General features: G+C 36.7%; 1 protein-coding gene across 5 annotated transcripts in view; it reads right to left on the bottom strand.

The window, feature by feature from the left end:
* TAF1B (TATA-box binding protein associated factor, RNA polymerase I subunit B) overlaps positions 1-24,278 on the bottom strand; it is a 90,975-nt gene that overhangs the window by 23,911 nt on the left and 42,786 nt on the right. For all 5 annotated transcript variants that reach the window (NM_001318976.1, NM_001318977.1, NM_005680.3 and 2 more), the window contains 1 exon segment: positions 5,500-5,647. In NM_001318976.1, coding sequence (NP_001305905.1) covers positions 5,500-5,647 — 148 coding nt within the window.

The following is a 24,278-nucleotide window of genomic DNA, read 5'->3' as shown; positions in this document are numbered from 1 at the left end:
GGACACATCCTGGCATCTGGCAGCCACATACCAGTTGTTTCATCCACATCTCTTGTCTGTGTTTCTATAGCAGTGTTTGCTCACCTAAAACTAACTCCCTTATGAGACCAAAAGCTTCTCTAGCAATGTATGTGCACTGGCTGGCATCCTGGCTAGCACACTGGAAGCCCTCAACAACTGTTTAACTAGATATATTGCTTTCCTAAAGAAATTATATGTTCAGCATAGACTACACCTATTACTCAAGACTGAATAATGTGGGACTTGGAACCAGAAAACCTAGGACCTATATTTAAGCTTTCCAATCACTAGCTTTGTGACTCTTGGATCAGAGTCACTTAGCCTCAGTTTCTTCACTTGTAAAATGGGTTATAATGAGAATAAATTGAGGTTATGTTCAAGTGAATAGACTTTGAAAACTAAACAAAAAATTTCTGTACTTCCCAATCTAAGTATGTAAGCTGTGACCACACAATTTCAAGTATGACAGCCATTTTTTATAAGAGATAATGAGCTTGCATGGAACTGAACTGAATCTTCTACATGCATTCAGTCACCATGTCCTGTTAATTCCATTCTCTCAATGTGGCATATAGTACCATGGTTGAGAATAGACTATGGAACCAAACTGCCTGGACTAGAGTCCCTGCTCCATCACTTACTAGCTCTGTGACCGTGGACATGTTATACAACCTTTCTGTGCCTCAGTTTTTAAACAATCTATCTAAAATAGGAATAAGAATAGTACCTGCTTCATAGCTGTTGTGAAGACTAAATTAATGAATATACCTAAGGCACTTGGATCAGTGCTGACTGCTTTCCAATCCATCCCCTTTCTTCCCGTCACTGTTGCTCCTTAGGCCACCCTTATAACTGCTCTCCCTTTCTCTAGTCTTACTCTCCTGTGGCCCAATCATCGTATTCCCCTGCTCTCATGAACTCACTAAAGCTTTTAGCTCCCAGCCTAATCTCCATAGTTCCCCCAAACAAGCCATATTCTCACTTGCCTCTCTGCTTTGCACAGCTACTTTTGCCCCTTTGCCTAGAAAGCCAGTTTCTTTCCCCCATTCCTCATCTCAGGCTCTGCCTGGCTGAAGCTCACTCATCTTAGAGAACTTGGTTATACCAGTGACCTCCTCTAAGAACAGACATGATACCACAGCCTCCTGTGACTGGCCCTCTTCTGAGTGCTAAAGCAGATGTCCTGGCATGTACCCTTCTATTGCACAGTTAAGGGTTTATCTTTCTGTTTCCCTCTTAAACTTGAGGGTGACTCAATCTTGTTTTATTTGTCTTCCTAACTGCTACAACCCACACATAATTCGTACTAATTACACGTTTATGATAAAGAATAAAACACAAAATTAATTTCTTTCTTGAAACATTTAAGTAAAAAAGTTTTGCTGATTAAAAAATGCTTTGTTAACATAGAAACAGAACACATATAACAATGATAATTCAAAATATCGCATCAAAGTATTTTTCTGTCTACCAGATTCTGGTAGCTTGGCTCAGGTTTTCACTTGGCTTTTATTCTTCCAACAAACATTTATTGAGCAACTAGTGTGTTCTGGGTACTTAAGACACAGACACAGTCCTCTTCCTCAAGTCCTTTTCCTAATGAGAATGCAGTATGCTACAGGCTATGACAAACATGGGATGGTGCTTTCAGGAAATGCAAACAGTCCAACAAGGCTTTAGTGTTGAATGTGAAGAGGCTGGCAGAGCCAGACAGTGCAGGTCTTTGTGAGGCAGAGAATTTGGACTATTATACTATTAAGATAATTTCAATTTACAGGTGTCACCTGAATTTACTCCTGGGCTTCATTCAGATGCAAAAAGATTAGGAGATAGAGAATTAAGCTCAATTCAACAAGCATTTACTGAGTGTCTACTAGGTACAAGATACTGTGCATTAATATAATGGAGGAAATTAGAGAAATGAATGATAGGACTCTTGCACTCAAACATGTACACTTCAAACATGGAAAAAATTAATTTTAAAATACCTTCACTAAAATTTTAACCATTATCTATATTGGGTTGTAGAAGCTACAGTCTCTTCTCAGATAATTTAAAAATCAAAACCATATTAGTATTATTATTCTAAAAAAATGACATTTCTTGAAATATTTCTCTTCTTTTAAAATTAATATCTTGGCCAGGCGTGGTGGCTCACGCCTGTAATCCCAGCAGTTTGGGAGGCCAAGGTGGGCAGATCACCTGAGGTCAGGAGATCCAGACCATCCTGGCTAACACAGTGAAACCCCATCTCTACTAAAGATACAAAAAATTAGCCAGGCGTGGTGGCGGGCGCCTGTAGTCCCAGCTACACTGGAGGCTGAGGCAGGAGAATGGTGTGAACGTGGGAGGTGGAGCTTGCAGTGAGCGGAGATCACGCCATTACACTCCAGCCTGGGTGACAGAGTGAGACTTTGTCTCAAAAAAAAAAAAAAAAAAAAAAAAAAAAAAAAAAAGAATTAAGATCTTGAACTGCTCCGCTTATGCCAAAAGTACAGACTAATAAGAAAAGCAACTGGAAGAAATGATGAGAATGGTAGCAAGAACAGTATAGGGTCTTGGAAGGGAGCAGAGGGTGGGAAGAGCACAGGCCCTGGAAGGGGAAGACTGGGTTGTAGGAATCTACTCTGCCATCTACCAGCTGAGTGTCCCTGAACTGCCCTAAGTCTCATCTGTCAAGGGGAAGCCTGCTTGCCCTCCCTTCCCACCTTCACAAAGAAGAGAATTTATATATGGGCACTTTGGAAACTTCAGAAATTACATACATGAAACAGAAATTACATAAATGATCATGAAAGCCATCAGAAACTCTATCCAGCAGGCTCGTGGGTGACAATGGGAGGAACCATAGTAGAGGGTGGAGAGTGCATCTGAGCTCATTCATGGCCATCAAAGGGGCAGCGCTTACTCAGGCAGGGTGTGTGTGACATACTTGCCGAAAGCTTTCCCCGAGCCCCAGAGGCTACCTGGTCACCTTTAAAGGCGTTGAGGAGGGGCGGCTATTGTCTCAGCATGTTTAAAACCGCTTTTAGCTTTCTGGGAACCCTAAACCCTCTCTTTGTAAAAGTGCCACATACATAGATCTCTTCTTTTTGATCAATGGCACTGCACAACTGACGGCATTACCGAGAGCAATATTTGTAATTACAAATGGCACATTCTGGAAATACTCTTGTAATCTTATGTATGGGTGGTTTGCAAACCAACTGTAAACATTTTAGAATCTACATCCTAAGGTATAGGGACTATCGTAACTTAATTTGTAGATCTATTTTTTGTTAAAAAAAAAAAAAAACAGGCCAGGCTTGGTGGCTTATGCCTGTAATCCCAGCACTTCGGGAAGTCAAGGCAGGAAGATGGCTTGAGCCTGGAGGTTCAAGACCAGCCTGGAGAACATGGCAAGACCTCATCTCTATTAAAAATAATAACAATAAAAAAAACTAGCCAGGTATGGTGGTGCGTGCCTGCAGTCTCAGCTACTCGGGAGGCTGAGGTGGGAGGATCACTGGAGCCCAGGAGTTCAAGGTTGTAATAAGCTACAATCACGCCACTGCACTTCAGCCTGGTCAACAGAGCAAGATCTTATCTTCAAAAAATCGCAAAAGCTTATTGCACTCCCCGTGCCCATTAATAAGTAATACAACTCAATATAGGATATTTATAAGATACATAAAGGTAGGAGAAGAAAAAAATAACATGTGTTACCCTAAGGTAGAAATAGCCACTTTAACATTTTGGTATATTTACTTCTAATATTTTCATGAATGTCTTCATTTTCTGTAGCTGTGGTTACGTTATACATAATTTTGTAATTTGGCTTGTTCGACTTTTTATTATAACATAAACATTTTCCATGCTTTTATGAACTCTTCATAAACATTATTTTAAAAGCTACATACCTAAAGTTCCACTGAACGTACACAACACTGTTTACATAACCCTTCCCTTTCTTTTGGATATTTGTTTCTGATTTTTCAATATTATAAATAAAGAGACTAATGACATTTATGGGTAATTTTTTTCTATATTTCAAATTATTTCTATTGAACAGACTGTGAGAAGTGAAATTTTTCTACCTCCATTTTTTATAATACTGCCTCCAAAAAGTCACTTAATAAATATCAAATGACAATAATGTCTCTCTGTATATTGTAACGGATTTATTTCTACTCCTTACGCACAGGAAATGTTAGGCAAGAAATATGGTTAAACTATAGATAACAGCCAGAAAACCTATCATCCCCTCTCTGTCCAATAATAAACACGTGACATAGATGCTTGCTTGCTATTAACCAGGCTGCATCAGTTATATTTTGATAATCCCTGGTATTCCTTCCATAACCCAGTATTCTCTCTATAAACTCAGGATTTAGAACATAAGACAGCATACAGGAACTTTCCACACTTGAGAGACCCATCAAAGAAGCAGAAAGAAAAAAAAAATCCAAAATAGTAATTCTGATCTATACAACATGTCCAAATGCAGAAATAAGATCTTCCAAATTCTGGAATCTTAAATAATTACTGATTTCTGGAATCTCAATAAGAGCCATATTCCTTAGCTTTAGAAATGTTACATTTGAAAAATTTAAATTATTTTTGTTCCTGTTTTAAAAAATATTTTTAAATTATGACAATACTTACATTTATATATGTTACTACATATTTATAGTCACATTTATAGTTACTATACATACAATTTCATATATTGCTTTTTTCACATAACACATGTATTTTACTCTCCTATTAACAATACATTCAATCACATTTTTTACATGCTTCAGCAATGGTATAGTCACACCACGTTTGTATTTTCTCTTAAGAATATAAGTCCAAAATTTCTCACATTTCTAGTCTAACAAGAAATTCAGGACTGGATTCCACCAGCAGATTCCACTGAGGTTACCTGTGTGTTGGTATACTATGAACCAGGTATAGTGAGGCTCTTTTTACATTCTATGTTTCACTGCCTTAAAGAGTTCAATATGATCTGACCAGACTTTGATCTCCATTTGTTTTATGGACTGGATATATTACCAAGCAACAAAAATGTTACCACAGATTAGCTTCTAGGATTTTTTTAAAAATTAGAATTCATTATGTAATAATAATGCCTCATGCAAATTAAAAAGTGCCGTTTTGGGATGGAGGACAGGTCATTAAAAACATATACTGAAACATTTGGTACTTTACTTGCACTTAGCAAACTTACCATAAAAATCAAACATATTCTCTCAAGCATAAATCCCTCACACCAAAACAGAACTCTTATTTCTGAAAACTCTATTTCTGAATATTGTCCCTTTAATGATTTTAAAAGGTCTGAATTATTTTAAGAAAGGATTTTGACATTAAGTTTCATGTAACCATGGACCTTTTCAGGTGGTTCTAATAGTCTGTGATTTGAAAAGATTCTATACTCTGCTTATTATTACTCTACTAGTTAAAGTGTCCCCACAATATATGTCACACACTTACCAGGGAGGTTGACTTCCATCAAGTATTTCATACACAGTATGTTGGGATGAAGATAGCAGTCTTCAGTTATGTCTGGAAAACGAGGCAAATCTAAAAATGTTCCAACTTCTACTGTTTTTTTGTAGATGTCCTCGTAGTCAGGCCAAGACTGAAATAAAAGAGAGACCATCATAGTTGCAATTTTTGCAACAAAACTTATTTTTAAAAATATGTTCTGATTTAGAATGGCTATTATTAAAAAGTAAAAAAATAACAGATGCTGGTGAAGTTGTGCAGAAAAAGGAACACTTATGCACTGCTGGCAGGAACGTAAATTAGTTCAGTCACTGTAGAAAGCAGTTTGGAGATTTCTCAAAGAACTTAAAACAGAGCTGCCATTCAAGCCAGCAAACCTATTACTGGATATATACCCAAAGGAATATGTCATTGACACATGCACGTGTGTATTCATCACAGCACTATTTACAACAGCAAAGACATGGAATCAACCTAAATGCCTACCAACAGTGGACTAGATGAAGAAATTGTCGTCTATATACACCATGGAATATTACACAGCCCTAAGAACAAGATCATGTCCTTTGCAGTGACAGGGATGGAGCTGGAGGCCATTATCTTAAGCAAATTAATGCAGTAACAAAAATCCAAATACTGCATTTCTCACTTATAAGTGGGAGCTAAACATTGAGTACACAGGCACACAAAGAAGGGAACAACAGACACAAGGGCCTACTTGAGGGTGGAGGGTGAGGATCAAAAAACTACCTTTACTGTGCTTGTTACCTGGGTGACAAGATAATCTGTACACCAAACCCCCACCACACTCAATTTACCCATGTAACAAACCTGCCCATGTGCCCCTTGAACCTAAAATCAAAGTTGGAAAGAAAAAAAAAATTTCTGATTTAGCAAGTAATATGTTCCAAGCCAAAGTATTTGGAATGCTTAAGAAAAGAAAAAGGAACAGATAAAACTAATATGCACTTACTGAATAAAATTTGGAATTTGGAGAAAAGCATGAAGGGAGAAAACCCCCATAAATCCTTAATATTTTAACTCAGCAATTTTAAGTCATAAATACTAAATGTTAAAAGCCACTAAAATTCTATTTGGCTCTTAAAACTCTTACTGGGTTTTCCCATGATATGGTAAAATCACTACTTCTTGCCTTAGAAGAATCTGGAGAAAGGATGAAAGCTACAACCCAATCAGAGTTATAATGTTGTCATGACTGCTCTGATACACAACCTCCCTCTCACCTTTCCCACCTGCACTCTCTCATTACTCTTCAAATTCATAGCTAACAAATGCGGCTCACTGTTACATAATATTCACGTGCTTTCCACATGGGAGTAACACCAGGTTTTAAGTCTAGTAGTTAAAAATCCACAATTCAACTTTATACTAAACTCGCACATATAAAAATATATAAGATTCTCTTACAAAGTTCAGAAAAGCTATGAACAAATATTAATATATTCTGTCTAGCACTTACTTTAAGAACTCGAAGTTTTTTGCATATACCATTTGTATTTTTGCAATTTATAAACATTCCTAATATTAATACTGCATGTAGTTTTTCACTTACTCATCTATTCACATAAAAAATTTAGTTTAGAGTGGCCAGGGTACGGTGGCCCACACCTGTAATCCCAGCACTTTGGGAGGCCGAGCCGGGCGGATCATGAGGTCAGGAGATTGAGACCATCCTGGCTAACACGGTGAAACCCCCTCTCTACTAAAAATACAAAAAATTAACCGGGCATGGTGGCGGGCGCCTGTAGTCCCAGCTACTTGGGAGGCTGAGGCAGGAGAATGGCGTGAACCCAGGAGGCGGAGCTTACAGTGAGCCGAGACTGCGCCACTGCACTCCAGCCTGGGCGACAGAGCCAGACTCCGTCTCAAATAAAATAAAATAAAATAAAATTTAGTTTAGAGCCTATTCTATGCAAGGAATTGTGCAAAGTACTTTGAGAAATAAAAACATGAATAAGATAATCTCAGAAATAAAAAGATGAATAAGACAATCTCCTTAAGCAGTTGACAATCGAGAAAGGAGATAGAAGGCTTGGATAAATAACTATAGTACAACACACATGTGCATGTAGGATTTCAGAAAACCAACATTTCTGATATGGTAGAACAGTATCAAAATTGAGCCTAATACAAAAATTTTGAAAATCCATTTTGCAGTATCTATTAAAGTTGAGCATATGTACCTCCTAGGTCAAGGGAATTCTACTCCTAGCTATGTATACTCAGCAGAAATGCGTATGCATGCCCATAAAAGACATGTACTAGGATGTTCATAACAACACTATTTGTGAAAACTCTAAGCTGGAAATTACTCAAATGTCCATAAATTACGTATCTAGAATAGATAAGTGAATTGTGATATAATCTCACAATAGAACAGTGTTCAGTAAGTGAATGTGCTACATGTAACAATGAATCAATCTTCAAAACATAATGTTCAAAGAAAAAAGCCAGATGCAAAAGAGAATGATTCCAGTTATATAAAGTATAAAACTCAGTAACTCTGTCCCCATCTTCTGTACTGTTAGAAGTCAGGATTTGATTACTCTAAGGGTGGGTAGGACATGACTGGAAGGGAGCACCCAGCAGAGCTCCTGGGGTGCTGGTAACGCTTCTCCATGAAGCTGGGTGCTGTGGCTGTGTTCAGGTTATGAAAATTCATCACACTGTCTATACATTTATGATGTGTAGACTTTCCTACGTGTCTATTTTACCTCAATAAAAAGTAAAAAAAAAAAAAAAAGCTTCATATATCACCTTTGTGGGAGAAATCATTGCTCAAATACAAAGGTGGAAAGACCTTAATGGTACAGGGGTATATGCTTAACGGAGACAATTACACTGTTAATTTTTAGAATTTATAACTATGCTTGATTTTACTTTGCCTGAAGCTAAAATCTTCCCTGTATTATATTTATTTTGGTACAACTATTTCAATAGCTAAACTCTTACATTTCCTTAGGAAAAATGCCTTCAGTTTATGTTATATTATCAACATATGATTGATCTGTAGCTGAAGAATACAAAGTAATTTTCTCTTAATCCAAAGTAGCAATGTGGCATTTTAAGTTTTTTTTTTAATGTTGGGATACAGTTATTCTACTTGTACACTAAAATACTATTAATTGTATTTTAATCTGTGAATTTTAAAGAGAGAAAAGAAAAACATAAGTTCTCAGTGAACTTTGAAAAGAAGGTGTCTTCCTTTTTATTTGTAAAATTAATTAATTTAGACCTCTGGTTCATTCTGCACAGAATTTGAAGCATCTTTTCAAGCTGAGACAATTTAACATTACTAATAAGATTTACAGCAATCTTAATCCTTTTAAATAATGCAGGTAAGAGATGCAATTAAGTACTTTTATCTGCAAACAAAACACTAGAGCAGTAAATGTTCCCCTTAGAAAAAAAATCATCTAAAAAATGATTTAATGGATGATAAATTCATGACAAGTATGTGTAAGGTCACTAATGAGAAGCAATTTGGTAGGCTACAAGGATTTAGCATCTTTTCAAAACTTCCACACTAAAAGCTGATACATGAAAGTCAACATCTGGTGACAAAGAGGCCACTATTCTTTCGAATATGAATTGAGGAGAAAATAATTATTAAGTGTGCATATCTACCTATCTATCCTATAGATTAGATTCCAGATTCTGCTAGTCTCAATTCAGTATTACAGATTTCATTTTTTAAAATTTCTTTTATTTTTAAACTGAACCAACTTTTCCTTTTTGAGTAACACTCAAAATATTTTTTTAAAGGTGGCTAAAGGTTTTCAATCCTATCCCATTTTCTTTTAACCAGTCTTGCCTCATTGTTATGCATTTAGGTTGTTTCCCATTTTTAAACCAGTATAAAGAATGCTATGATGAATATATGTTAGCAACATTTAAATTTGATTATAAAAATAACACATCAACATTATAGAAAATTTAGGAAATATAAAATTCTATACTAAAAGATAATAAAAATCTCTGACAACTTAGAGAAACCCTCTGTTAGGATCTGGGTGGACTTTTCTCTCAGCTCATTTGGGCACATCCATATTTATAACATTGGGATTTAAATTCAACAGCCTATTTGACATCTCTACTTGGATTATCTTTCTAGTATGTCAAACTTCTATATCCCAACATCTTCCACATCCCTAAATTTTAATCCCTCCAGCAGTGTTCCTTACCCTGTCGCAAAAAGCAAACATTTAGGAACATCCTTGACACCTCCCTTTTCTCACACACCACATTCATTCCATTCCACAGACTGTTTACTCCACCTCCAAGCCTGGTCTTCAGTGATAGTCTTTCTCATCACTTTAACAACTCTACCCCAGACCCGAACTATCAAAAACCTCCTGACAGCCCTATATCTGCTTCTAGCTCTTTGCAACTGGGAGCCAGGGTAAGATTTTATTTTATTATTATTATTATTTTTGAGACAGGGTCTCACTCTATTGCCCAGGCTGGAGTGCTGTGGCATGATCACAGCTCACTACAGCCTTGACCTCCTGGGCTCAAGTGATCCTCCTGCCTCAGCCTTCTGGGTAGGCTGAGACTATAGGCATGCACCACCACACCCAGCTAATTTTTTGTATTTTTTGTAGAGATGGAGTTTTGTCATATTGCCCAGGCTGGTCTTGAACTCCTAGGGTCATGCAATTTGCCTGCCTTGGCCTCCCAAAGTGTTGGGATTGCAGGCATGAGCCACTGCATGCAGCCCAGGGTAAGATTACAAAATGAAAATCTGGTATGTCATTCCCCTACTAAAATCCCTCTAATAGTTTACACTGCTCTTAGGCTAAGCTCCTGCCTGTCTGAGAGCTTTTGTACAAACTGGATTAGGAATATAGTTTCATCTCCTGAATTTTGACCTAACATTATGTTTTGTGAGAATTTTCTAATGCCACGAGATAGCCTGTGAGAACATTATTTTGAGTGACTGGAAAACATTCTTCTTTATGAATCCATCATTTCCTTATTACTGGATATTTATGTTAGATACACATATCATGCATCATATTAAGCAGCTAAGAAAACGTGCTTTGATAGGCTGTTTTATGATTTAGGAAAATATTCATAGTACAATGCTCAATTTTTAAAATGCAGGAGACAAATTTGTATACATGCTTCAATCCTAATTTTGCAAATATGTTTATGCACATTAAACAAGACAATCAAAAATAGCAAATGTTAATGGCATTCATGAGAAATCAGACTGTGATTTTCATCTCCTTCTTTGTACTTCTCATTATTTTCTACATTCCTTCTAATTCTGAATACATTACTTTTGTAATAAGAAAAAAACATTCAAAAATATATTGTGGTTGTCTAAAAAATTAAATATAGACTTACTATATGATCCACTAATTGCACTTCTGGAACTGAAAGCAGGGATGCGAACAAATATTTGTATACCAATGTTCCTACTGGCACTGCTCACAATAGCCAAAAGGTAGAAACGACCCAAATGTACACCAATGAATGGATGAACAAAATGTGGTATGTATGTATGTAAATGTATATATATTTTATATAAGACAAAGCTGGATATTAGCAAGTAGTATATATAGATTTTGAATGTTTTATATATATCATAGAATATTATCCAGCCTGAAAAGGAATGAAATTCTGACACGAACTACAATATAGGTGATCCTTAAAGATATTATGCTAAGTGAAGTAAGCCAGACGCCAGACACAAAAAGTCAAATGTTGTATGATTCCACACGTATGAGATACCTAAAGAAGTCAAATTCCTAGAGACAGAAAGTAGAATGGTGTTTACCAGAGGCTGGAACAAGTGGGGAATGGGAAGTTGGTGTTTAATGGGTATGAGTTTCAACGTGGGAAGATGAAAAAATTCTAGAGATGGATGGTGGTGATGGATGCACAAAAATATAAATACACTTAATACCACTGAGCTGCACACTTACAAATGGCTAAAATGGTAACTTTTATGTATATTTTGCCACCAAAAAAAGTATAAAATGGAACCTAAGTTCTCAGACAAGGTGGCAGGAGAAAAAAAAAAAGAAAAAAGGAATGTAAGTAATGTCTGTCTAAAGGAAAAAAAAAACACATGTTAAAGAGGTCATAATTAGAAGTGTAATAAAGCTGGAAATTTAAAAAATTCAGCATATATGAAATCTACAGACATTCAAAATCTATACCACTTGCTAATATCTACTTTTATCTTACACGAAACCTCTTATAAATACACTTTTGGGGGAAATACGGAGTTATTAAACTATAATTATTAAAAATGTAACACCAAGATATGTGTCTACATTTCCCAGAATAAGAAGCCTGCCAGAATCTTCTCCATTAGATACACTGTACTCTGTCAATGACTTACAGAGAGAGGAAGGATACTTCTATCTTTTCAGCCTTGATTTTCACTGTTTTCATATATGTTAAACTCACAGACCAGTTTCTCAATAGATATAGTTCCCAAACAGTTTTAAACAGAATCCTGTTTAAAACAACACATACTTAATAAGGTATAACAGCATTTTGTTTTATACTGACCCTTTGGTTATCTGCTAATTCTACCTCAAATCTTCTGTGGAACAAGGTGGAATAACAAAAGACAGACATAGAGATAAGGCTTATATAATGCACTGCTCAAAGCGTAATCTCCATCAGAATCACTTGCAAGATGCTTACGAAAAACATCTTCTTAGAGCCCACACTATACTTAACTGAATCAATTTCTGACACTGGGTCTAAGAATCTGCAGTTTAAACAAGCTCTCCAGGATATTCTTATGCATACTAAAGCCTGAGAGCCTCTAGAGATTAATGAAATTGCTATGGATCCCCAGAAAACAGAATATGCCGGTTGTAGGAAACAAAAAATAAAATGCAGAGGCTACTTTTCTTGTAGACAGGAGGAAGTGCTCAGATAGTTTTACTCTCCAAGTTTGGAAAGAGAAGCACACATACACATTCCAGTGAGGCTGAGATGATGGTAGCTGGGGGCGGGGTGGGGGGTTGGGGGAAGTGGGCCAGGAACACAAGAAAACACCAGCTGGCTTCTCTCCCTCATGCTGTCTGGGAGGGAAGAGTAGAAATGAGGGAACCTGATCATTATGTTCACTTCAACTTCCCTCAAGTAGATTTGAAACCTGTCAGGTTATTATTCTAATAAAGATTGTACAAAAAATCCCAAGCATTACATGTGGCCTACAGAGTAAGAAGGTGAACAAATCTAGAGTCAGGTTTGAAGATTCTGGGCAGATCAAAACAATCCAATAAGGCCCTCATTTGAAGGTGCTTAAGAAGTGACTGACAGCTCTGGACGAGTCTTTTTCTTCCTTCAACCAAAAGAAACCCAGTTTCACAAAGGGTGTAAGATTGCTCCAAGCAAAATGAATCATCCTGGCTAAGTGCCACGCAGTGGGTTTGGCTGACCCAGTATTACATCTTTTCTTTTTACTCATTCAGGGAGAAGATCAGAATGCTGTTGATCAACATTCAAAATATTGGAGATGTACTTCAGAACAAATTTCCAGTTTCCTCTTTATCCCTTCTTGCTGCGTCTAGTGAGGGATGATGAAATGACTAATTCTTGAGAGGACTGAGAAACACTGCCAAGGACTGTGGTAGAATAGTATCTATGTTACATATTATCTATTTTTAAACTGATCTGTAGGTTTAAAATATATCAAGAAAATCAAGGCTGAAAAGATAGAAGTAGCCCTATTTTAAGTCACTGACAGAATAAATTGTATCTAATACAGACAAGTATATCTAGACCCAATACTTTGGTTCAATCAGTGATCTGATTATTTGGTATGCTGTGAAGAGATGGTGCCCCTGAAAGGTACTAGATTTTCAGTTTATTCTACCAGGTAAACTGAAAGATTTTTGCTAGAAGTAAATAGGGCTTCAAGTCAGCACCATACTCCAGAAAGTTGAGTCACAAATGAAGCAGCAGAAGAGGCAGAGGCAGAAAAAGGAGAAGAGGGTTATCTCCAAATTAATTTAAGTAAATGAAATGAACTGGCTATCTACTTGGGCTCAGGAATCACAACTCAGAAAAAGGAGATGGCTGGAAAGACTAAAATTTAATTTGCACACCTATCTCCTCTCCTGAGCTCTGCTCTGCTCTTAAGTCAGGATAATGGCAGGAAGACTCAGACTCTCATGGCCTGCTTAGAAAAAGAAAAACCACATCAACACTCTCTGTATTCCATGTCCCTCTGCTTTAAGTGAGTTTTGCCAGATTTGTTGTTATTAAGACAGAGGGGCCACTGAAATACTAACAGAACAACTTAATGGAAAGAAAGCTCAGCTGGGATAAAGGTTTGAAAAGGGTTTTTAAAGCTTTTTTTTTTTTTTTTTTTTTTGGTTTTTAGATGTGCTCTCAACTTTCTGGAATAACAAAAATAAAACAAAACCAAACACAGAAGGAAAACAGTCCCCAGCAGCCCACACACAAAACTCCACTGGCATATCTTCATCGCCATCTCCTAGCACAATTGCACCTTTTGTCATTTCTGGTGGAGGTACAGCTGCTGAAGAAGCCAAGACTTAGCGGAGAAAGCTAAGGCATGGAAGGGGGGAAGAAAATGCTTCCTTTGTTAATGAAAAGCCGTTTCCATTTAAAAGTTTCAACATACTATAGAATAGTGAATGCACTTTTGTGAGCAATAGCAAAAAGCACACAATGAAGAAAAGCTGCCTGTCAATTAAATCAACAGTCATCTGAAGGCAACACAAACCTCCTCTTCTTGAAAAAAGAGGGAAGGAAGGGAGGGAAGCAGGGAGGGAGTGTGGACATTTACTACACTTGGCTGAGGATGTGTCTAAAAGGAATAATAAATGTGACATACAGGGCTTCTCGAGTGATACAGGTCCATTTCATTACAATAGTAAGAAATCACAAGTTTAACATGTTTTTTAAAAGACCACAAAGCTACAATAAATTGTTCCAGCATGCATTAAAAACGGAGTGCTTGGGAAAGCATTTTATTGAATTTCACAAATATTACAGCGAGTTTACTTTCCTTCGTGAAGCAATACTTTAAGACAGGTAAGGACAGGCTAGAGTTTCTGTTACACAACAGCAGGCTCCTGTGATAAACCTGATTACAATACCCTGTCAGAGGCAAACTTCCTGCTCAGCTATTTAAAAAAAAAAAAAAAAAAAAAAAGAGTGCAGTGCCTCACCCTTACTTATTCTTATTGTTGTTTTGAGGCAGATTCAACTGAGAAAAAGCTAATGCAAAGTGCACCTGTTAAACCAAACTGTTATCAAGACTCTCCATAACAAAGGAGAATTAACAAGGAATAAAACTATCAGAAGTAATGACAAAGCACTGTAATTATTTATGGAAAAAGAATAAAATGAATTCCACATGTATCATGATGCATAAATAGTTCACCTTGCATTTTTAATCTGCTAGACTTTTCTTAATGACAGTAAACCTACCATGTAGTAGAAAAAATACTTTTTTTTTTTCTTTTGAGACAGGGTCTCACTCTGTCGCCCAGGCTGTAGTGCAGTGGCACAATCACAGCTCACTGCGGCTTCCACTTTCTGGGCTCAGGTGATCCTCCCACCTCAGCCTCCTGAGTAGCTGGGACCACAGGCAGGTGCCGCCACGCCCGGCTAATTTTTGTGTTTTTTTGTAGAGCCAGAGTTTCACCATGTTGCCCAGGCTGGTCTCAAACTCTGGGGCTTAAGGGATACTCCCGCCTCAGCTTCCCAAAGTGCTGGGATTACAGGCGTAAGCCACCATGCCTAACCACAAAAAATTTTTTTTGTGTTCAAAATCTAGTCTTCTGGGAGTTTGTGGTGAACACATTGCTTTATGTGAAATATAGTCTTGGCCCTGAGGATGAGGCCTTTTTAGAAACGCGTTGTCAACTTGTACAGACAAACACAAACCTTATGAACAAATACAAAATTATGAACTGCTGACCAATGAGGATTTGCCAACTGAACAGGAGATAATAATTTGTTTTGGCCCCAGGATCAGAGCTGGTAAAAACCTATTGGAGTCCTCCTTAATATGTGCCTGTTCTCCAAACGCTCTGCTGATTGTTGCATAGCCATGTTCCAATTTCACATATCTGTGGTAATGAAGTTTAAAAGATGGTATCGAGAAGACTAGATAATCTCAAAATAATTTCTATTTGATTTTGGAAGGGTCATGTGATTACTCTTGCAGCAGATTTACCTCTGCCGTTACTCGGTTTAGTTTAGGCTAGTGTAACACCAGGTTCCCATTCTCTCCTCCTGGGAGGGACAGGTGAGGGAAGCCCCAGGTATACTGGGTACTGGGGCATACTGGCCCAGGATGAAACAAAATCACAGGTAATCCACACAAAATTATCAGCTTCACTTAGCAAACATGAGGTATGATTCTAAAAGAAATATAAATGTAGCCTCAGATACATTTTCTAGCCTGAGTAATTCACTGTTGGTTTCAGCATACTGGTAAGAATATGAACTGCTAACTTTTTCATATGAATGATACTGACACACCCATAACTCTTATTTTTAAATGTCCTTGCTAACAAGCAGAAGTTATATCCTTTATATATTTACCACTAAAATTTAATAGAATGTTTTTTCTTTAAATTTCTCTTAACCAAATGCCACTATTTAGTGGCCTTCTGATATATTGTATAATAAATATATCAGAAGCAGTCTAGAAATTTCCTACCTATGTGAGAAAAACTCCCCAACAGATCAATTTGAATTTTTCTGAAAATAGTGTTTAAACTTACTGTTTTATAGCTATTTCAAATCATGTAATCAATAAACACAGACTGAGTCCTTATTTTGTAGACGGAATTATAGTAGGTCTTATAGAATCTATAATATAGATAATAAAATAGAAGCATTAAATACGGTCTTTATGCTCAATTTACACTTTTAGTTAAGGATGTAAGACATATACAAACAAATCATGCATGACATACTGTCTTCTACTCCTCTCTTTTATAAATTCTATTTAGACAACATCCTTTAGCTGCCTTTAAAATTCTGAAAAATGCAAAAGAATACATATACTATATCTGTAAGCTATGAAGCCTGGTAATAATAAATGCCTATGAATCCACTACCCAACTTAAGAACTAAAACATTGCCAATATGGTTGTATCTACTAGTATACTTCCTCCCTATCCCATCCCTCTGTCTCTGCCTCCAGAGGTAACTAGTTTACTGAATTTTGCTCATTGTTAACTTGCCTTTTAAAAAGACAGTATTATACCATAGTATGTAGTTTTCTGAGCTTTGCCTTTTTTTTAAAGTTATGATTATTATTTGAGACAGGGTCTTGCTCTGTCGTCCAGGCTGGAGTGCAGTGGCATGAGCATAGCTCACTGCAGCCTCGACCTCCCAAGGCTCAAGCAATCTTCCCACTTCAGCCTCCCTAGTAGCTGAGACTACAGGGCGAGCCACCACGTCTAGCCTGAGCTTTGCCTTTCACACTCTATATAATGTTTCTTAGGTTCATTCACGTTGCTTGCAGCTGCAGTTCATGAATTTTCATAGTGGTTTACTGTACCATTATATGACTATATCACATTTTTTCCATTTTCCTGTTGATAGACATTTAGATTGTTTCTGGTTTTGTTTGGCTTATTTTTTCATTACCTAGCTACCTTGTTTTAGTCTTTTAAAGTACTCAGGAGTAATGGGTCAGGATGGATATAACTTATAATCAATGACGCAGAAATAAAATTACACAGATACACAAGTAGGTAGGTAGACAGATAGGAAAAATGGCACAAATGATCAAACAATGGCATAAAATGCTAACAACAGTTAACTCTGGATACAGGATATATGGGCATTCTTTGTACTACTCTTAGTTTTGCAACTTTTCTATAAATCTAAAATTATTCCAAAATAATTTTTTTAAGTGCTCTCCAAGATGTAAGTGAAAAAAAGCAAAGTGCAGTGGTTGCTACCAAGATGTAATTTCATATTATTTTCTATGCTTATATCTTCCACCAAAATCTCTAAGAAGTCTCTCTGCTTTTTTACCCTGTCCCTTCACTCAAAATTAATTTAAAAAGATGAAAGGTAAGTGTTGGCAAGGATGCAAAGAAAAGGGAACTCTTGTACATTGGTGGTGGGAATGTAAATTACTATAGCCATCATGGAAATGAAATGGAGGTTACTCAAAAAACTTAAAACAGAACTACCATATGACCCAGCAATCCTACTGCTGGATAATATCCAAAAAAAATCAAAATCAATATGTTGATGGGGTTCACTGCAGCATAACTCACAAAAGCCAAGATATGGACTCAACCTAAGTGTCCATCGATGGATGAATGTAAGAAAACGTGTACTGATATAGAATGGGAAACTATTCAGCCTTAAATTCAGAGGGAAATTCTGTCATTTGCGACACCATGGGTGAACCTAGAGGGCCCATAAGTAAAATAAGCCAGGCACAGAAAGACAAATACTGCATGATCTCACTTATATGAAGAATCTAAGGCTGGGTGAAGCTGAGGAGGGAGGGAATGCGGAGTTGTTGGTCAAAGGGTACAAAGTTTCAGAAGACAGAAGGAACAAGTTTTGAGATCTACCGCACAGCAGAGTGACTACAGTCAATAATAATGTATAGTCATGCGTAGCTGAATGACAGAGATACTTTCTGAGAAATGCATCATTGGGTAATTTCATTGTGTGAAGAGTGTACTTACACAAACCTAGATGTTACAGCCCAGTACACACCTAGGCTATATGAGATAGCCTACTACTCCCAGGTTACAAACATGTATTGCATGTTATATACTGCTGAATGCTGTAGGCAACTGTAACACAATGGCAAGTATTTATGTATCTACACATAGAAAAGGTACAGTAAAAATACAGTATAAACAAACTGTACACCTCTATAGGGCACTTACCATGAATGAAGCCTTCAAGACTGAAAGTTGCTCTGGGTGAGCCAGTGAGTGAGTGGTGAGTGAATGTGAAGGCTTACAATATTACTGCACACTACATAAATGCTGTACACTTAGGCTACACAAAATTTATAAAAAATATGCTTTCTTCAGTAATAAATTAACCTTAGCTTACTGCATCTTTTCTATATAAACTTAAAAATAATTTTAACTTTTTGACTCCTGTAATACAACTTAGTTTAAAACACATACTGTACAGCTATACAAAAATGTTTTCTTTATATCCTTATTCCATAATGTTTTTTTCTATTTTTAAAATTTTTATTTTTTGTTTTTTTACTCTTTAAACTTTTTTGTTAAAAACTAAAACACAAACATACACATTTAGCCCAGGCCTATATGGGGTTAGGGGCAATAACATGCATGGAGCTGTCATCTTCTGTGGTAACAATGCCTTCTTCTGGAATATCTCCTACGGAACCTGCCTGAGGCTGTTAACTTTTTTTTAATAAGTAGAAGAAGTACACTTTAAAGTAATGATTACAAGTATAGTAAATACATAAACCAGTAACAGTAACAGTTATTATCAAGTATTATGTACTCCAAATTATATAAATGTATTAAATTATCACATGTATCCCAGAAATAGGTACATGTATCAGGCATCAGTTAAAAAAATTAAGCATACCAAAAAAATTCTTACACCTTACAGGGAAATAAAGGTGGAGAATAAAAGAAACAGGACAGTAATTTTAAAAAAGTATTCTGTATCACACATAATTATATATGGTATACTTTTCTACCACTGGCAGTAAAGGTCTGTTTATAGAAGCATCACCACAAACACACAAGTAATGTGTTGTGCTAAGAAGTTATGAAGTCTACAACATCACTAGGTGACAGGAATTTTTCAGCTCCATTACAATCTTATTAGACCACCGTTGTATATGTGATCCATTGTTGACTGAAACAGTTATACAGCACATGACTGTATTGTATAATTTAAAGTAAGAGAGTAGGCCAGGTGCAGTAGCTCATGCCTGTAATCCCAGCACTTGGGGAGGCTGAGGCGGGTGGATCACCTGAGGTCGGGAGTTCGAGACCAGCCTGACCAACATGGAGAAACCCCATCTCTACTAAAAATACAAAAAAGTAGCCAGGATTGGTGGCGCATGCCTGTAATCCCAGCTACTTGGGAGGCTGAGGCAGGAGAATCGCTTGAACCTGGGAGGTGGAGGTTGTGGTGAGCATAGATTGTGCAATTGCACTCCAGCCTGGGCAACAAGAGGGAAACTCCGTCCCCAAAAAAAATAAAATAAGAGAGTAAATTTCAAATGTCTCACCATAAAAATGATAGGTGAGGTGACAGACATGTTAATTAGCTTGATGTAATCATTTCACATGGTAAACATATCTCAAAATATCACTGTACCCCATACATGTATTAATTATAATTTGTCAATTAAAAACAATATTACTTCAAAAAAGAAAAAAAATAGATCAACAAAAGGGATTATTACTAGGGCAGGTATTTAGGGGAAAAGATTTAAGTAAAGATCAGATTAGTGACAATATTCATGAACAGAGACTACAATTTTTTTTTAAAAAAATCCAAGAATGAGTGAGCAACAACATGCTTTCAGGCATCTGAGAAAGAACTGTTCAGGTAATACCTAAAAAGCATCTGAATACTGACTCTATTTCTAAATGTCTAAAAATTAGTATTTGGAACACTTCTGTTTCTGCCCATGAAGGATTACCAACCATGGGAACTGAGCTTCCACCGTATCCAACAGAGAACTGGAAAAAATATATGAAAGAACAGGTTCAAGCATTGGACAACAGACAGCATGGACACTAATCCCTTAGAGAAGAGAAACAAATGGCCCAGCTTACTGCCTGGAGGCAGTTTCCAAACTGCAGTGCAGTGCAAGGGTGGGAAGTGAAACAGAGCTCAGTGGTCTTGATGAGCAGAGGAGACAGGGACTGGAGTTTCTGGAAGCTGAGGTGGCTAAAATTTGCAAGCTTAGTACCACAAAGGACAAAATTGCATAGACAGAGAGATCCAGAGACCTGCAAAGGGGCCCTCTCATGTGTTTTGCTGAGTATCAATATGTGCATGTATGAGAAAATATCTGAGGCCAGGGAAAAAAATAACAGGAAAGCAGTAGAGCAAACAATTTCCAAAGCTCACGGAAGGCAAACAGCCAAAGTGCAGAGACTTCGTAATACCAGAGGCATTGGGTAGAGTCTTTAGTAGGGATACGCCTTAGTAGTGAGGCTAAAATAGTCCCAGAAAAAAAGGGACTATTAATAACAAACCACACACAACAAAACTTAAAAACAAGCTTCTAAAGGATTAAACTGTTCTTCAAGTTACTTAATTATACACTAGAACAAAAAATCTAGCACTCTACAACATAAAAATTACAATGATTGCATCTAATAAAAAAAAATTACCAGTCATGCAAAGAGGCAGGAAAATATGATACATAACCAATCAATAAAACAGACCCAGAAATAACAAAGACAATGGAATTGGCAGACAAGGGTTTTAAAACATCTATTACAAATACTGTCAATATAGCCAAGAATATAAAAGAAAACAAGAACATAATGAGAAGAGAAAGAGAAGAAATAAGACTAAAATGCAAGTTCCAGAAATGAAAAATGTAGTATCTGAAATGAAAAACACATTGAATGGGTTTAATGACACATTAGAAGATACTCAAGTAAAGATCACTGAATCTGAAGACATAACAATAGAAATTATCAAAACAAAACATAGTAAGCAGAAAGGCCAGAAAAATAAAAAGGAAAAGCCTCAGGGAGCTATGGTACCATATCAAGTGGTCTAGCATGTAATTAGTATCCCAGAAAAAGGCAAGGGGAGGCCAAAAAAATTTAAACAAATAATGGATGAAAATGTCCAAGTTTGATGAAAACTGCACACCCATAAATCTAAGGTAAATAAAACCCAAGCAGAAGGCTGGGTGCAGTGGCTCCCCACCCGTAATCCCAGCACTCTGGGAGGCCGAGGCGGGTGGATCACCTGAGGTCAGGAGTTCGAGACCAGCCTGGCCCACATGGTGAAACCCCATCTCTACTAACAATACAAATTAGCCGGGTGTGGTGGCGCATGTCTGTAATCCCAGATACTCAGGAGACTGAGGCAAGAGAATCGCTTGAACCCAGGAAGCGAAGGTTGCAGTGAGCCGGGATCATGCCACTGCACTCCAGCCTGGGCGACAAGAGCAAAAATTTGTCTTAAAAAAAAAAAAAAAAAAAAAAAAAAAAAACCAAGCAGAAGAAACATAAAGAAAACTGTGACAAGGCACATAATAATCCAATTGGTGAGATCCAGTGATAAAGAGAAAATCTTAAAAAGCAGCTAAAGGAAAAAAGGCACATTATATAAAGAACAGTAAAGATAAGAATTATAGCAGATTGACATCAGAAATTAGGCAGGCCTGAAGACAATGGAATGACATCTTTAAAGTACTGAAAAAAAGGTATGAAACTAGAATTCTATACCTACTGAAAATATCTCTCAAAAATTAAGGCAAAGTTAGGACTTTTTTTTAGAACAAGAAAAGCAACAATAATTCACTGCCAGCAGAACTGTACTACAAGAAATGTTAAAGGACGTTTTTTAGACAGAAATTGGGATCTAAATAAAAAGATTACCAGAAATGGCAAACACATAGGTAAATATAAAATGATTTTTCTCATTTTAAATCTCTTGAAAAGATAAATGATTGCTTACAGAAAAAAAAAATCCCAATGCATTAAGGTAGAAGTGAAATGTTTGACACTAAAGGATGGGAGGAGGGAAGTGGAAATACTCTGTTGTAAGGGTCTTACTCTATACAAGTAATGGTATATTATTAGTTGAGGTAGAATGAGAAAAGGTAAAGATGAATACTGTAAACCCTAGAGCAACCACAAAAAAACACAGAGAGGTATAGTTAATAAATCAACAGTGGAGATAAAATGAAATTATTAAAAAATTCTTAATTAAGCCTGGGCATCACTGCAAGACCACGTCTCTAAAAAAAATTTTTTTTTAATTAGTTGGCTGTGGGGGTATTTGCTTGTAGTCCTAGCTACTAGGGAGGCTGAGGCAAAAGGATTGCTTAAGCCCAGGAGTTTGAGGTTACAGTGAGCTACGATCATGCCACTGTACTCCAGTCTGGGTGACAGAATAAGACCCTATGCCTTAAAAAACATAAAACAAACAACAACAACAAAAAATTCTTAATTAATCCAAAAGGCAGGAAAAGAAGAAAAAAAGAAAAAACAAGAGATGAGACATGTAATAGCAAGATGGTAGATTCAAACCCAACTATACTGATAATTATGTCAAATGTAAATGGCTTAAACACACGAATTAAAAGGCAGAGATTATCAATTAGATGTTTAAAAATCAACACCCAATGACATACTAACTACCAGAAAACACTTTAAATATAAAGACACAGATAGGTCAAAAATAAAAGATTGGAAAAAGATATGCTGTGCAAACATCAATAAAAAAAACTTGGAGTGGCTATATTAGTATCAGACAAGTAGAAACAGCACGAGGAGAAAAAAGTGACATTAGATAATGATAAAGGAGTCAATTTATCAAGAAGACAAAATACTGTAAATGTTACACACCTAGTAATAGAGCTCCAGTAACAGAAGCAAAAACTGATAGGATGTGAAACAAAAGTTGCAATCATAGTTGGAGATTTCAAAACTCTTCTCTCAGTAATTGATAGGATGAGTAAAAATTAGTATTTGAATGGTTTCAGATCAAAGAGCAAGTAAACATAACTCATTTCACCTCTTAATTTACAAAACTTGTCTCAAATTGTTAAAACTTAAAAGAGGAAGGAAACAGTTTAGATGTGATACAATACTGAGAAAATAATATTTCAGGTTGAAACTGTGAATTGCCGTCAGAAATAAATGCGACTATTATAGTTGTAGGTACTTCTTACCACACTCCCCATAGGTGGGCAATATAAATCTTTTTTTTTTTGAGACAGAGTCTCACTCTGTTGCCTGGCTGGAGTGCAGTGGCACAATCTCGGCTCACTGCAACCTCCGCTTCCTGGGTTCAAGCGATTCTCCTGCCTCAGCCTCCCGAGTAGCTGGGACTAAAGCTGTGCGCCACCACGCTCAGCTAATTTTTGTATTTTTAGTAGAGACAGGGTTTCACCATATTGGCAAGGATGGTCTCAATCTCCTGACCTCGCGATCCGCCTGCCTCGGCCTCCCAAAGTGCTGGGATTACAGGCGTAAGCCACTGCGCCTGGCCGGCAATGTAAATCTTAACTGAAGGAATGAGCTAGGCTTCTGGGCAATGTAAGCCACAATGGCTATTATAGAAACAGTCTCTTAATTTGGTGTATTATATCTCTCTCTCTCTTGCAGTCCCCTAAACATTTAGTAATAATGGGATCTATTACTATTTGAAAGAACACATAGAAGAAATTTTTGAAAATAATTACTTTTAAATAGTGAAATTTGAGTGTCTATGTGAGTACATTTAAAATGAAACTAAACCTCTTAAAAAGGAAATTACTGGTTAGATACCATTTCCAAGCATATAAACTCAGCACAGGAAGCAATATCTTTTGCAAAAAGTTGAATACATGGTAACTGAAATTATAAAATACCACCATGAGAAACAAGATACATTATCCTTTCCCATATCCATGGACTTCCTCGAACCTAATTTGAGAAAACCTAGAAATGAAGGAGCGAGTATAGCTCAGAAGTAGAGCACTGGACTGCAGATCAAGAGAAAATCTAGAAATGAACACATTCAAAAGTTAACAGAATCTTAAAATGGAAACTTAATTTTCCAAAATG

This window comes from Homo sapiens, chromosome 2 (assembly GCF_000001405.40).
Source record: "Homo sapiens chromosome 2, GRCh38.p14 Primary Assembly".
NCBI lineage: Eukaryota > Metazoa > Chordata > Mammalia > Primates > Hominidae > Homo > Homo sapiens.
Note: the sequence above shows the minus strand (reverse complement) of the source record. Positions and strands in the feature narration are given on the sequence as shown.